General features: G+C 43.9%; 1 protein-coding gene across 6 annotated transcripts in view; it reads left to right on the top strand.

Annotated features, from left to right (window-relative positions):
- Positions 1-14,034, top strand: part of RNF135 (ring finger protein 135) — a 40,991-nt gene that overhangs the window by 25,441 nt on the left and 1,516 nt on the right. For 4 of the 6 annotated variants that reach the window (XM_047436929.1, XM_024451001.2, NM_032322.4 and 1 more), the window contains exons 2-4: positions 256-399; positions 3,583-3,745; positions 12,881-12,970. In XM_047436929.1, the coding sequence (XP_047292885.1) occupies positions 256-399; positions 3,583-3,745; positions 12,881-12,970 (397 nt within the window). Of the gene's footprint in view, positions 1-255; positions 400-3,582; positions 3,746-9,478; positions 9,544-12,880; positions 12,971-14,034 lie in introns of all 6 variants that reach the window. The other 2 variants (NM_001184992.2, NM_197939.2) reach the window with 2 other exon arrangements.

Genomic DNA, 14,034 nt, shown 5'->3' on the forward strand with positions numbered 1-14,034 from the left:
GCATATAGATATCCAGTTTTCACAGTACAATTTGTTGAAAAAACTGTCCTTTCTCCATTGAATGGTCTTGGCACCTTCGTCAAAAATCATTTAACTATATATGTGAGAGTTTATTTCTGGGTACTCTATTGTATTCCATCGGTCTGTATGTCTGTTTTTATGCCATTACCACAGTATTTATGATTCCCTCTGTCTAGTGGTGGTTCCTGGGTCCAGTTTTATAGAACCCAGGACCTGAACTTTGCTATTTTGAAGGTGGCAGTAGAGAAGAGCATCACAGAAGTTGCTCAGGAGCTGACAGAGCTGGTGGAACATCTTGTAGACATTGTCAGAAGCCTGCAGAATCAGAGGCCCCTATCAGAATCTGGACCAGACAACGAACTGAGCATCCTGGGCAAGGTAGGCTCCACTGGGAGAGGAAAGGATGTGGAAGGGAATAGGGCTAGGGATTGCTTTCAACTGGAACAACATGAACATATTTGAACCTGAAGGATACAATAAGTCTCAATCTTTTATTGTTCTCTTTACTACCAGACATGGATGATTGGACATTTGGAATGCTTGAGGTAAGGTTGGGAAGCTTCAGATGGGCTAGGATCACTCCACCTAACAAGCTGTCTCTAAGATCACCAGTGACCTCTGTGTATAACGTTCTGGTGCCTGTCTCTATAAGCGTTCTGGTGCCTGTCTTCATTGACCTTTCAGCAGCCTTTGACACTGTGGACCACACCTTCATTCTTAGCTTTTGGGACAGGAATCTTTTGGCTTTCCCCCACCTCTCTCTGGCTGATCCTTCTCAGTCTGTTTACAGGCTCTCTCTCCTCTGCTTAGGAATTAAATGCTGGAGTTCCTCAAGGCTGAGTTGTAGGTCCCTTTGTTTCCCCTGCAGGTAGTCTTCCCTGCATCCATGGCTTTAATGACCACCTCTATGCACAAATAATAGCTCCAGGCTGGAGCCTTCTCTGAGCACTAGGCTGCTATGTCTTCCTTCTCATCTTTTCTTCTTGGGTATCTCAAAGCATCACACTTAATGCGTCCTAAACTGCTCCTCTTCTGGGATTTCTCATCTCAATGCTTGCCCCATTATCTTTCCAAGTACAGAAGCCAGAGACCTGGAAATCATGTTACCTTCTTCTCCCTTACCCTAATATGCAGCATATTGTAGCTTTAAGACCTGCCTAATTACCTCTCAAATCTATTTACTTATTCTTGAGCTCCTTTGAGACTTGCTCTAATCCAAGCCTCTGATAATTTCATGTCTGGATTGCTGTCATAGTCTTCCAAATGCTCCACTCTCCCTCTTCTAGTCTGTTTTCCTCATGGTCATCACAGTGACTACCACAAACATCAATCTGAAAATGTAACTCATCTGCTTAAAACATTCAAATTACATCAGTTTGCTCAGGAGTAAGACCCAAATCCTCACAGGACCAGCAAAGCCCTGTAGGATCCCATCTCTGTCTGCCTCTCAAATCTCATCTCTGCTCATGCTGCCTGGCTCTGTGCGCTCTAGCTACACTGGCCGCACAGTCGCTCTAGTGTGTCTCACGTCTTCCCACTACAGGGCACCCTTCATGGAATGCTCTCCTTTCCCTCCATCACTTAGGTAATACTTGCTCATCCTTCAGATCCTAGCTAGAACGTCATTTCTTCAGAAAGAAGCCTTCAATGATTTCCTTGAACAAATCAAATCTCCCCATTAGAGGCTCTGAGGACTCCATGTACCTTTCATTTGTAGTGGTTATCACCATTGCACCTTTGTAATGTCTTGTGCCATACTCTATATTAATGTCTGCCCCCCTCCCTTTTCCTTCACTGGACTCTCAACTTCAGGAGGATAGGGACTTTTGATGCTTTTTTTTTTTTTGAGACAGAGTCTTGCTGGAGTGCAGTGGCGTGATCTCAGCTCATTGCAACCTCCGCCTCCTAGGTTCAAGTGATTCTCCTGCCTCAGCCTGCCGAGTAGCTGGGACTACAGGTGTCCGCCACCACTCCTGGCTAATTTTTGTATTTTTAGTAGAGACGGGGTTTCACCATACTGGCCAGTCTGGCCTCAAACTCCTGACCTTGTGATCCACCTGCCTCGGCCTCCCAAAGTGCTGGGATTACAGGCGTGCGCCACATTGCCTGGCTGATGCTTTTGTTCTTTTGTCCACCATTGTGTCCCCAGGCGCTAGCACAGTACCCAAGTACCCACTTACAGTAGGGGTTCAACAAATACCCACTGAATGTATGGATAAATCCATCTTTAGGGATGCGATGTGTTGGGATAGAAACGCTGAGAGTCTGACTTTCAGAATTGACATTGTCACTCACTAGTATTATGACCTTGGGCAAGTCATTTCATCTATCTGCGTCTCAGGTTCCTATCTGTAATATAGAAATAATGATACAGGGCCTGCCACATCATTGGTTTATTGTGAGGATTAAAAGAGGTATAAGAAAGTGCTTGAGCAATGTTAAAATGTGGGATGTTATAATTAACTGTGGCAATTTAGTTAACCTTCATGAATTTCATCTTCTTTTGTAAAACGGAGATTTTTTACAGGTTGATAAACCTACTTTGTGAGGTTGTTATGCAAATGAGAGAAAGGCAATATCTAGCATGTAGAAAACACTCAATAAGTGTAATACTACCGTATTTTGATTGGTGGAAAGAATGGGGAGTGGATTATGCAAAGGTGGGAAGGAAAGGGGTTGAAGTTGGTGAGCAGATAAAGGGCTGTATTGGGGAAGAACAGGACCTGAGGCTAAAGAAAATCAGGGAGCATGTGTTGAAGGCCCTAGAAAGCAGGACCTGGATGCAGGCAATTTGAGAGGGAGCTCTTGCGAAGTGAAATGATATAATGATAGAGGTGGGAAAAGGTTCCTTTTTTTTTTTTTGTGAAATGGAGTCTTGCTCTGTCGCCCAGGTTGTAGTGCAGTGGCATGATCTTCTCAGCTCAGTACAACCTCTACCTCCCGGGTTCAAGTGATTGTCCTGCCTCAGCCTCCCATGTAGTTGGGATTACAGGCACTTGCCATCATGCCTGGCTAATTTTTGTATTTTTAGTACAGACAGGGTTTCACCATGTTGGCCAGGCTGGTCTCGGATTCCTGACTTCAGGTGTTCTACCCTCCTCAGCCTTCCAAAGTGCTGGGATTACAGGTGTGAGCCACCACACCTAGCCGAAAAGGTTATTCTGACCTCCATGGTTTATCTCAGTAACTATCTGTAGTATTTATTTTATAAAGCCCCTATAAGATGCGCCTAGAAATGTTAAACTTTTTTGGTATTACCTAAGAAATCCATGTTTATTGTGCAAAATATTAGAAAGCACATAGCATTAAATAAAGCAAATTAAAGTGCTCCATAACTCCATCACCCAGAAATAACCACTCTTTGATATTTTTGCTGTACTATGTACAGCAAATTATTCCAGATTTTTTTCAAGGCATATTTTTTGAGGGCCTAATTTTGTTTTTAAAAACTTGCTGGGAATTAAATAGAAAATTATAGATGAATAGAAAAACTTGAATATAATAGTTGATAGACTGCATAGGGGACTTCCATTTATTCAGTTTTAAATGGTTTATCAATAGGCTTTTTCTTCTGGGGTGGATCTTTCCATGGCTTCTCCAAAGCTGGTGACTTCCGACACAGCTGCAGGGAAAATCAGAGATATTCTCCATGACCTAGAAGAAATTCAGGAAAAATTACAAGAAAGCGTCACCTGGAAAGAGGCTCCTGAAGCACAAATGCAGGGTGAGCTGATCTTATTTATTGGAGGAGGATTAAATATGGAAGTTGGGGGGAGTAGCAGAGTGCTCTATGGCTTTGTTCTCTGGGGATAGGATCCCAGAGTCCAGCTGTATTACCACTGTGGTGTCGTGAATCAGGTAGGGGTGGGCTGAAGTGATTTTGTGGCTGAATATGTTTTTGGCAATGACTGAAGGTGTGATGTATCACAAGTCCTTAATAGATAGAAACTCATTTTTGAAGATCCATGCACACAGGTCCTTACTGATCAAGTGTGTTATCTTACTGCAGAGATTCTGAAATAGGCCACTTTTAATTTTTTTTTTTTTTTTTTTTTTTTTTTTTGTGATGGAGTCTCACTCTGTCGCCCAGGCTGGAGTGCAGTGGCACCATCTGGGCTCACTGCAAGCTCTGCCTCCTGGGTTCATGCCATTCTCCTGCCTCAGCCTCCCCAGTAGCTGGGACTACAGGTGCCCGCCACCATGCTGGCTAATTTTTTGTGTTTTTGATAGAGACGGGGTTTCACCATGTTAACGAGGATGGTCTCAATCTCCTGACCTTGTGATCTGCCCGCCTTGGCCTCCCAAAGTGTTGGGATTACAGGCGTGAGCCACCGTGCCTGGCCTTAAATTTTTAACTAGTAAATGTCTTCTTCTTTTTTTTTTTTTTAATAATTTTGTTTTGTTTTTGTTTTATTTTGAGACAGAGTCTCACTCCGTCACCCAGGCTGGAGTGCAGTGGTGCGATCTTGGCCAGAATTACAGGCGTGCGCCACCACGCCTGGCTAATTTTTGCGTTGGTTTTTTTTTTCTTTTCTTTCTTTCTTTTTTTTTTTTTTTTTTTTAAGTAGAGACAGAGTTTCACCATGTTGGACAGACTGGTCTCAAACTCCTGACTGCAAGGCTCACCTCAGCCTCCCAAAGTGTTGGGATTACAGGCGTGAGCCACTGCACCTGGCTGTAAATGTCTTTCTTAACAAAGCATATAGGCCAAGTGCAGTGGCTCACGCCTGTAATCCCAGTGCTTTGGGAGGCTGAGGTGAGAGGATCTCTTGAGGCCAGGAGTTCAAGACCAGCCTGGACTACAGAGAGAGATCCTGTCTCTACAAAAAATAAAAAGTAACCAGATGTGGTGGTGCACACCTGTAGTCCCAGCTACTCTGTAGGCTGAGGCTAGAGGATCACTTGAGCCACGGGTTCAAGGCTGAGTGATCATGCCACTGCATTGCATCCTGGGCAACAGAGGGAGATCTTGTCTACAAACAAAACCAGCATGCCACTTTGTAACTAGTTCTTGATACAGTCTATTAAAATATAATCTCTGGGGAGTGTGTTAATGTTAATATTAAACAGTACCATATAGAAAAGAACCTTTCTGTCCTGATCCTGTAGTTTCTCTGTTGTTCTTCCAGAGTTATTGAAAAATAACTAACACCTTCCTGTCAGACATTAGACGTTAGCTCTGTCTGGTCTCCCAGGGTTCTTCCTCCTGCTCTGGCCACTGCTATCTTCATATGCTTTAGAGGCATTTCTTCTGTAGCTTTTCCTCTTCTGATAGCTTTTATATCCTTTATATTTTCATATTTAAACAATCTTATGCTACTTAAAAAATCATTTCTGGCCAGTGCAGTGGCTTATGCCTGTAATCCCAGCACTTTGGGAGGCCGAGGCGTGTGGATCACCTGAGGTCAAGAGTTCAAGACCAGCCTGGTCAACCTGGCGAAACCCTGTCTCTATTAAAAACACAAAAATTAACTGGGCATGGTGGTGGGTGCCTATAATCCCAGCTACTCAGGAGGCAGAGGCACAAGAATCACTTGAACCTGGGAAGCAGAGGTTGCACCATTGCACTCCAGCCTGGGCAACAAGAGTGAAACTCTGTCTCAAAAAAAAAAAAAAAAAAAAAGAATCATTTCTTATGTAAGTGGAGAAGCATGATTCCTTGGAAAAAGTTTCTTTAGGAAAACAATTAGAGAGCAGTTTATTGTTCCAAAAATTATCTGAGAAAGAAGCACCTTTGTATTCTGTGTGCTTCTAAACTTAGGTTGGGTTCCTTAGTGATTTTATTTATACAAATTTAAGATCAATTTTTAAATTTTGGGGGGTTAAATTTAAAATTTCATATTCAAAAATCAAAACAGGGCTGGGCGCGGTGGCTCATGCCTGTAATCCCAGCACTTTGTGAGGCCAAGGAGGGTGGATCACCTGAGGTCAGGAGTTCGAGAGCAGCCTGGCCAACATGGTGAAACCCCGTCTCTACTAAAAATACAAAAAATTAGCCGGGCGTGGTGGCACACTCCAGTAGTGCCAGCTACTCCAGAGGCTTAGGCAGGAAAATTGCTTGAACCCGGGAGGCAGAGGTTGCAGTGAGCCACTGCACTCCAGTGTGGGTGATGAGCGAAACACCATCTCAAAACAAACAAACAAACAAACAAAAACAGTATAAAAAGGGCATACTGCCCAGTCTCTCTTCCATCCTTGCCAATTGCCCCATTCTCTCTTCTCAGTGCACCACTTTTATTACCGTTTTTTTGAGTGTCTGTTCAGAATTTATTTATGCAAATGTCAGCGAATATGAATTTATATTTTTATTTCTCCCAATCTTTTTTTAATACACAAAAGATAGCACATTATATACATTGTCCTGCATTTTGCTTTTGTCTTTTACTTTATACATCTTTATTTTATAGTACAGTAGTTAGGACATTTTTCCTTGCTTTTGTTAGTACCTAGGGCATTTTCTCTTACAGTTGCTCAGTATTCCAATATCTGGGTATGCCAACATTTATTTACTCCATCCTCTGCAGATGAATACGTGATTGTTTCCAATTGTTTACAATGACAAATAATGCTAAAATCAATAACTGTGTATGTACATTGTTTCATATGGGTGTAGATATATTTGTAGCTCAAATTGCCAGTGAAGGTTGCTGGGTCATAGGGTAAATTCATTTGTCATTTTGATATACATTGCCAAATCACCCTCCAGTTGGGTTATACCAGTCTTCACTCCCACAGAAGAAGTGTGTGTCCCCAACCTGCCAACTGAGTATGTTGTCAAACATTTGTCTTTTTTTTTAAACCAATCTCATGGGTCAAAATATTGATGTGAAATTAGCCAGTCTTGGTGGTGGGTGCCCGTAATCCCAGTTACGTGGGAGGTTGAGGCAGGTGAATTGCTTGAACCCGGGAGGCAGAGGTTGTAGTGAGCCAAGACCGTGCCATTGTCCTCCAGCCTGGGCAACAAGAATGAAACTCTGACTCAAGAAAATACATTGACGTGAGAGTATACTGCGCGTTTTTTTTCTCTTTCTCTTTCTTTTTTTTTTTTTTTGAGACTGAGTCTCGCTCTTGTTGTCCAGGTTGGAGTGCAGTGGCCCGATCTCGGCACACTGCAATCTCCGTCTCCCAGGTTCAAGTGATTCTCCTGCCTCAGCCTCCTGAGTAGTTGGGATTACAGGCACCTGCCACCAGGCCTCACTAATTTTTGTACTTTTAGAGATGGGGTTTCACCATGTTGGTCAGGCTGGTCTCAGACTCCTGACCTCAGGTGATCTGCTTGCCTCGGTCTCCCAAAGTGCTGGGATTACAGGGGTGAGCCACCGTGCCCGGCCTATACTACACTTTTAATTTGTGTTTCTCCATGAATTGTCTTTCATATCTTGTGTTATTGGTCTTTTAAAAATTGACATTTAGGAGCTCTTTGTAAATTAAAGAGATTAAACTTTTGTCTGTTATATGAATTGCAAATTTTGTTCCTTAATATGTCATTTGTCTTTTTATTTATCTTTTATGGGTTTTATAATGCCATATAGACATTTTTAAATTTATGTAATTTTTTTTTTTTTTTGAGAAGCAGTTTCGTTCTTGTTGCCCAGGCTGGAGTACAAAGGTGTGATCTGGCTCACTGTAATATCTGTCTCCTGGGTTCAAGTGATTCTCCTGCCTCAGCCTCCCAAGTAGCTGGGATTACAAGCCTGTGCCACCACACCTGGCTAATTTTTGTATTTTTAGCAGAGACAGGGTTTCCCCATGTTGGTCAGGCTGGTCTCAAACTCTTGACCTCAGGTGATCCACCTGCCTTGGCTTCCCAATCTGCTGGGATTACACAGGAGTAAGCCACTGCGCTCGGCCTTTACATAATTTTTTATAGAGATGAAATCTCACTGTTTTGCCCAGGCTGGTCTCAAACTCTTAGGCTCAAGCAATCCTTCTGTCTCTGCCTGCCAAATTGCTGGGATTACAGGTGTGAACCACCATGTCTGGCCTCAATTTTTTTTTTTTTTTTTAGAGACAATAGACAGAGTCTTGTTCTGTTGCCTAGACTGGTTGACTAGAGTGCTGTGGCAATTCCTGGTCTCTAAATGTTTCTTTTTTATTTTTTGAGACAAGGTCTTACTTTGTTTCCCAGGGTGGAGTGCAGTGGTGCGATCATGGCTCACCCCAGCCTTGACCTCCCAGGCTCAAGTGATCCTCCCTCCTTAGCCTCCTGAGTAGCTGGGACTGCAGGTGCGTGTCACCGCACCTGGCTAATTCTTGTATTTTTGGGTAGAGACAGAGTTTTGCTATGTTTCCTAGGCTGGCCTGGAACTCCTGGGCTCCAGCAATTAGTTCACCTTAGCTGCTTGAGTAGGTGGGACTGCAAGGTGGCGCTACCACACTCAGTTAATTTTTTGTTTATTTTTTTTGTGGAGAAGAGGTCTTGCTTCTATTTTCATGTAGTAAATTTTGTTCATTTTTTCTTTTATGCATTGTAGATTTTAAGTTTTAGTTAGAAAACTCAACCCCCTGAAGTTTAGAAAGGAATTTTCTCAGGTATATGTGTGTGTTTGTACTTACACAGTTTACATTTAAATCTTTGGTTTCATGTTTTACATTTAAATCTTTGACTCACTTCAAGTATATCTCAGCATGTATCCTAGTGCATTTTGTTTTATTTGTTTATTATTATTATTATTATTATTATTATTATTAATTTTGAGACAGAGTCTCACTCTGTTGCCCAGGCTGGAGTGCAGTGGCGCGATCTCGGCTCACCACAACCTCCGCCTCCCGGGTTCAAGCAATTCTCCTGCCTCAGCCTCCTGAGTAGCTGGGATTATAGGCTCCCGACACCACATCTGGATACTTTTTGTATTTTTAGTAGAGATGGGGTTTCGCCATGTTGGCCGGGCTGGTCTTGAACTCCTGACCTCAGGTGATCTGCCTGCCTTTGCCTGCCTTGGCATCCCAAAGTGCTGGGATTACAGGCATGAGCCACAGCACTTGGCCTTATTTATTTTTTAAATAGAGACAGGGATGTCACTTTATTGCCCAGGCTGGTGTTGATCTCCTAGCTTCCAGCAATCCTTGTGCTTTGGCTCCCAAAGTGCTGGGATTACAGGCATGAGCCACCATACCGAGCCCCTAGTGAATTTTAAGTAAGATTTGTGTAGTGCCACTTTAGAGACATATCTCATAGCATTTTCATGTTTAATGATATTGCTCTGCTTAAAATGTTGCTCTTAACTGGAGAACCATGATTCTTTGGAAAAAATTTCCATGGTTAAGTGTAGATTATTTCTCTCATCAATAGAGATAAAAAAAGTATTAGGGAGTGTTAATTTAAAAAAAAAAAGTAAATAACTTCAGTAGGTTTTGCAAATGCTTTTTAAAAAATTTTTTTCCTTTCTTTTTCTTTTGTTTATAATCTGCATTCTGCTGAATTAATTAATTAATTAATTTTTTTATTTTGACACAGGTTCTCTGTTGCCCAGGCTGGAGTGCAGTGGCACAATCACTGCAGCCTCGATCTCTCAGGCTCAGGTGATCTTCCTTCCTAAGACTCCCAAGTAGCTGGGACTACAGGCATGTGCCACCACACTCAGCTAATTTTTTGTACTTTTTGTAGAGATGAGGTTTTGCCATGTTGCCCAGGCTGGTCTCCCACTCTTGGGCTCAAGCGATCCTCCTGCCTCAACCTCCCAAAGTTGTTGGATTACAGGCGTGAGCCACGGTGCCCAGCCAAACATTTTTTAAAAACCTATTAACAATAAGTAATAATCGTATCAGCAAAATAGGAGAACAGTGATATTCATCTGAATTTTGTGTTTTTCTAAATTGTAGTGAAAATACATACAACATAAAATTTACTATCTTAACTATTTTTAAGTAGGCAGCTCAGGCAGGTGCAGTGGCTCATGCCTGTAATCCCAGCACTTTGGGAGGTTGAGGTGGGCAGATCAGTTGAGTCCAGGAGTTCAAGAGCAGCCTGGGTAACATAGTGAGACCCACTTCTCTACCAAAAATACAAAAACTAGCCTGCTATGGTGGCACACACCTGTAGTCCCAGTCCCAGCTACTTGGGAGGCTGAGGTGGGAGGATCACTTGAGCCTGGGAAGCAGAAGTTGCAGTGAGCCGAAATCAGGCCACTGCACTCCAGCCTCGGCAACAACAACAAAAAAAGTAGCAGCTCAGAGCTCAGTACTGTTAAGTATGTTTACATTATCATATAACCAATCTCCAGATCATTTTCTTTTTTGTAACTTTATTTTATTTTATTTTTTTTTTTGAGACAGAGTTTCACTCTTGTTGCCCAGGCTGGAGTGCAATGGCATGATCTCGGCTCACTGCGACCTCTGGCTCCTGGGTTCAAGCGATTCTCCTGCCTCAGCCTCCCAAGTAGCTGGCATTACAAGCATCCACCACCACACCTGGCTAATTTTTTTTATATTTTTAGTAGAGACGAGGGTTTCACCATGTTGGCCAGGCTGGTCTCAAACTCCTGGCCTCAGGTGATCCACCCGTCTCGGCCTCCCAAAGTGCTGGGATTACAGGTGTGAGCCACCACGCCTGGACTGTAACTTTAATTTTAATTTTTTAGGATCAGGTCTTACTTTGTTGCCCAGGCTAGAGTACTGTGGCACAACTATGGCTCACTGTAACCTCAATCCTCCTGCTTCAGCCTCCCCAGTAGCCAGGACTATAGGCCCACACCACCATGCTCAGCTATTTAAAGAATTGTTTTGGCCGGGACAGTGGCTTACGCCTGTAATCATAGCACTTTGGGAGGCCGAGGCGGGTGGATCACTAGGTCAGGAGATCGAGATCATCCTGGCTAACACGGTGAAACCCCGTCTCTACTAAAAATACAAAAAAATTAGCTGGGTGTGGTGGTGGGCGCCTGTAGTCCCAGCTACTCAGGAGGCTGAGGCAGGAGAATGGCGTGAACCCGGGAGGTGGAGCTTGCAGTGAGCTGAGATTGCGCCATCGCACTCCAGCCTGGGCGACAGAGCGAGACTCAGTCTCAAAAAAAAAAAAAGAATTGTTTTGTAGAGACAGGGTCTCATTATGTTGCCCAGGCTGGTCTGGAACTCCTCCTGGCCTCAAGTGAGCCTGCTGCCTCAGCCTCCTAACTAGCTGGGACTATAAGCATGGGCCACCATGCCTGGTTTCATGTTGCAGAATTGAAACTCTATACCCATTAAGCAACAATTCCACATTCCTTCAACCCCCTCCTACCTGGCAACCACTATTCCACTTTCTGTTCTATGAATTTGACTATTCTAGATACCTCATGTGAGTGGAATCATACAGTATTAGTGTGTGAGAGGTTTATTTCACTTAGCATAATGTCCTCCAAGCTCACCTATGTTGTAGCATATATCAGAATTTGTTACTTTTTTTTTTTTTGAGACGGAGTCTTGCTCTGTCACCCAGGCTGGAGTGCAGTGGTGCGATCTTGGCTCACCGCAACCTCTGCCTCCCGGGTTCAAGCAATTCTCCCACCTCTGCCTCCCTAGTAGTAGCTGGGATTACAGGCATGTGCTACCACCCCTGACTAGTTTTGTGTGTGTGTGTGTGTGTGTGTATTTTTTAGTAGAGATGGGGTTTCGCCATGTTGGCCAGGCAGGTCTCGAACTCCTGACCTCAGGTGATCCGCCCGCCTCAGCCTCCCAAAGTATTGGGATTACAGGCGTGAGCCACCACGCCCAGGCAGAATTCATTACTTTTTTTTTTTTTTTTTTTTGAGATGGAGTCTCACTCTGTTTCCCAGGCTGGAGTCAGTGGTGCGATCTCGGCTGACTGCAAACTCCGCCTCCCAGGTTCAAGTGATTCTCCTGCCTCAGCTTCCCAAGTAGCTGGGATTACAGCCATGTGTCACCACACGCAGCTAATTTTTGTATTTTTAGTAGAGATGGGGTTTCACCATATTGGCCAGGCTGGTCTTGAACTCCTGACCTTGTGATCTGCCTGTCTTGGCCTCCCAAAGTGCTGGGATTACAGGTGTGAACCACTGCGCCCAGGCAGTATTCGTTACTTTTTAAGGCTAAATAATATTCCATTGTATGTATATATCACATTTCTTTATCCATTTTTCTGTCTCTGGACACAGGGATTGCTTCAGTTCCGAGTTGAATTTTGAGACTGGCCTCTTTACAGGCAGCTCTCTTGCTCTCATGACCTAAGTTACCACAGGCACACCCTAGACAAGGTCTTTCATCTCTTCTCAGGTGGAGTCTTAGATTCACTGCAGCTGCTGTCACTTCAAGATACAAGTAGGACAAGATTTTGCCTTCAAAGTCTGCACTCTAGGACTTCCCTTACTTATCATCTGCCTGACGTGGTCATTGCACTCTAGCACACATGACTGCTTTAAGTTAATAATTAAACTTTAGCACATCGAGAGGGAATTAGGAGGTGTCAGCAATGGTGATGAATCTCACCCCAACTCATGTTACCCAGTTTATGTAACAACAGTTTAAAACATTGACTTGGGGGTCCTGGATATTCTAGGTGTTAGGGTGCTGCAATCCCCTGGAACTGTATTAGTTGATTTTATTTCATGAGTGTGCATAAAACACCTTCTATCTATGGGACTGGCATGGGGCTTGGTGCTTAGAACATATAGATGAACAAGATCTTTGCTAGCAAGGAGCTGAGAGCTTAGTGAAGAAAGAGTGAAAAGTCCACAGTGAGAACATGGAGGTGCACATACCTGGGCTGCAGGCACACTGCCTCTGCCTGATCCAGTCCTGACACTGAAAAATGTGTAGATGATAAGAAGACAAGCCAGCCATGTGCCTTGACCATGATGTTTGGAGACCTTCAGTTTGCCTTTTTCTGATGGGACTTTCCTCTGTTAATTTTTTTGTTACTTAGGAGAACTCCTGGAAGCCCCGTCTTCCTCCTCATGCCCATTGCCTGACCAGAGCCACCCTGCACTCAGGAGAGCTTCTCGGTTTGCTCAGTGTAAGTATGTGGTCCACTTTAAACATGGGTTTGGCTTGCCGCAGAGCGGGCTTCGAGAATATCCTACATCCATCTCCCTACTGCTAGGGCCACTCCTTGGCTTACTGCACATGGATTTGTTCCAGGTCCCTCCACGGGGGGAGCTGATTGCAAAGGCAAAGCAGGTTGAGACTCTAGACCCAAGAGCACTCAGAGTCCCGCCAACCTTTGAGCATCTCTGCTGTGGCCACCAACTACAGCCAACTGCCTGTTCCCAAACCTGCTGAGGTATTTCTGCATCTGTGCTGTGGCCACCAACTATAGCCAACTGCCTCTTCCTAAACCTGCTGAGGTATTTCTGCCATCTCAGTCTGGGATAGTCCTTAAGAGCATGGATCCCAGAGCCAGACTGCTTGGGTTTGACTCCCAGCAGCTCCACTAACTAGCTGTGTGATCTTGGGCAAGTCACTTAAGCTTCCTAGAGCCTGGGTTTCCTCATCTGTAAAATGGAGATAATATAGTACTTCTCTTGCGGGATTGCCATGAGGGTTAAGTGAGTGAGTATGAGTAAAACACCTAGAGTAGTCATGCTGTATAAGTGTTAGCAATTTATTCACTCAATAGGAAACCAAATGAAATATACAAAGTGAGTAAGACATGGTCCTCAATCAGGAAGTTTCAGTTTAACTGGGAAGGTATAAACAGCTGTGGTCATAAATCACCATAAGACGGGCGTGAGCCACCGCACCTTGCCTACGCCCAGCTAATTTTGGTATGTTTAATAGAGACAGGAGTTGGCCATGATGGCCAGGCTGGTCTTGACCTCCTGGCCTCAAGTGTTCCACCTGCCTCAGCCTCCCAAAGTGCTGGGATTACAGGGGTAAGCCAGTGCACCTGGCTGAAGGAGCTGGCCTGATTTTTAAAATTGACATATAATAATTGTATAGTCTGGGTGCAGTGGCTCATGCCTGTAATTGCAGCACTTTGGGAGGCTGAGATGGCAGGATTGCTGGAGCTCAGGAGTTCGACACCAGCCTAGGAAGCATGGCAAAATCCTGCTTCTTTTCTAAATAAATTTTAAAAAT

Source organism: Homo sapiens, chromosome 17 (assembly GCF_000001405.40).
Source record: "Homo sapiens chromosome 17, GRCh38.p14 Primary Assembly".
In the NCBI taxonomy this organism is placed as follows: domain Eukaryota; kingdom Metazoa; phylum Chordata; class Mammalia; order Primates; family Hominidae; genus Homo; species Homo sapiens.